The sequence below is a fragment of the Homo sapiens genome, chromosome 2 (genome assembly GCF_000001405.40).
Source record: "Homo sapiens chromosome 2, GRCh38.p14 Primary Assembly".
Lineage (NCBI taxonomy): Eukaryota > Metazoa > Chordata > Mammalia > Primates > Hominidae > Homo > Homo sapiens.
In genome coordinates, this window is record NC_000002.12 from 163703358 (window position 1) to 163705302 (window position 1945).

The 1945-nt window shown below is 36.2% G+C and overlaps 1 protein-coding gene and 1 long non-coding RNA gene across 4 annotated transcripts in view; both read right to left on the bottom strand.

Moving 5' to 3' along the window:
* The window catches only part of FIGN (fidgetin, microtubule severing factor), a 133398-nt gene that overhangs the window by 100747 nt on the left and 30706 nt on the right, over positions 1–1945 (bottom strand). The window lies entirely within an intron of this gene.
* The window catches only part of LOC107985957 (uncharacterized), a 65994-nt gene that overhangs the window by 35410 nt on the left and 28639 nt on the right, over positions 1–1945 (bottom strand). The gene's annotated exons all lie outside the window — the stretch shown is intronic.

A 1945-nucleotide genomic window follows, 5' to 3' on the forward strand; every position in this document is an offset into this window, starting at 1 on the left:
TGCTAGGGAACATTTAAAAATGGTTACTTTAAAAGGAAGGTTGAACATGCAAATTTGTAGGGGAGAGGAATTAAAACAGTGATTTCTTTCAATGATACATTTTTCATTTTCTATTTTAAAACGAAAACCAGTTACTTTTGAGTCAACAGGCATGTGACAGAAAGTGCTACATAGAAAGAATTTTCCCATCAAGGACTGCTGGATGTTAACTGAAGAGCTCAGGTAAATATGTCTTCTCCTTTTAAAGCATACTTGACATTTCTGACCTTTGAACTCTGATTTTCACTATTTGTAGGGCTCCTTACTGAGGCCTTAAGATGTAAAGGTCTTCTTGAGCTCAAATGACCCTCATTGCTTCCTGGCTCTACTCATATATGGGCACTGTGTTATGGGAAAGCCATGTTAACTTGATTTCAAGGACTCAGCCACTCCAGCTACACATCGTAACCCCAAAATGGAGATTTCATAAACAAAAGAATCTCCATCCTTCTAAATATCAGTTAATTCCACCTAATCAGATATATTATCAGCACTAATCCTAACACATAGATTACCAGCATTACAAAACAGCCATTACTAATTAGCCCTCATTCCTAATACCGCTAGCCCAGGAAAGCCTATCCACATTACTATATTAAAAGAGAGTCTATTCTGAATTGCTGTTTTGTTTGGAAAAGGGGGAAAAAAAAGTCTGTGTTCCATTCCAGCTGGCAGAGTTTTCCTAAATTAGATTAACTTTTAATTTAAATTAAAAATTTTTAAAGCTTTACACAAAGAGACAGTAATTGCCCATTTGAAACATCCAAAAAAGGTGATTGAAGGGTACAGTAATATGCTTACATGAATAATAAATAATACTTAGCATTTAGATAGAGCTTTCCCCTCATCAAATCACTTCTTTATAAGCATTAACTAATTCATACATTATCCTAGCAAGTAAAATTAAATGATGAAATGTTTCTCTACTTTGAAGTTGGGTAAACTGAGGCATAAAGTGGCAATTCTGTGGTGATGATGACACGTCAGTTTCAGAACATGGAGCGTAATTGTCAGGCATTTCCTTGTGGGCTGTGTGTGTGTGACATTAAGCTAAATCTGAAATTCATTTTTCCCACAGGCACTGCGTGGGCTTTGGTGATGTTACATAGGCCAATTTTTATTCCCATCTCTGTCAATGGCTATGAGGTATTGGACAAAATACTTAGTATCTTTTTGCCTTAATATTCCAATCTGTCAAATGGGAATAACCCACAGACTGTCTCTCTCTTTCTCTCTCTCTCTCTCTCTCTCTCTCTCTCTCACACACACACACACACACACACACACACACACAGTGCTTAGTAAATGCTCAACAAATAGCGGTTACTATTCACCGTTAGTAAGAAGTTCCTAAGACAACTACTAACAGTAAGCTAATGGGATATTTCAAATACTCTGACAGGAAATGGAGCCATAACCCCAACTAAGTGTTCAAATGGAATAAAATACTCCAAATCTCCTGGAAAAATATTAATGGCACATCTTCCAAGGCAATGCTTAATAGTTCACATTATATGCAACTAATGTACCTCCAGTGAGTACACAAGAGGTCCATCCAATTTTAGCATTAAAATATCCTCACAGATTTAAGATATTGATTTTACTTTTCTCATCCATTGGTGACATAATGACTTAAGAATTATGGTGAATTCTGTGACAACTTTATAACACTTCTAAATGGATGTATGTTTTTATTCTAATCATAAGAGACACCACATACATCAAAAACATCTATAGTACATACGTGTAAAGAAACATGTGTTTAATACACATGTGAATTTGAGAAACTTTTGGAAAAAGTCCAACATTCCTCAGAGGTCTGCAGCCCACAGTGTGGGGACCACTCTCCTAGAGGGTAAGAAATAACATACTGTTCAACACTCTTCGTTGCACAGCTGATACCCAC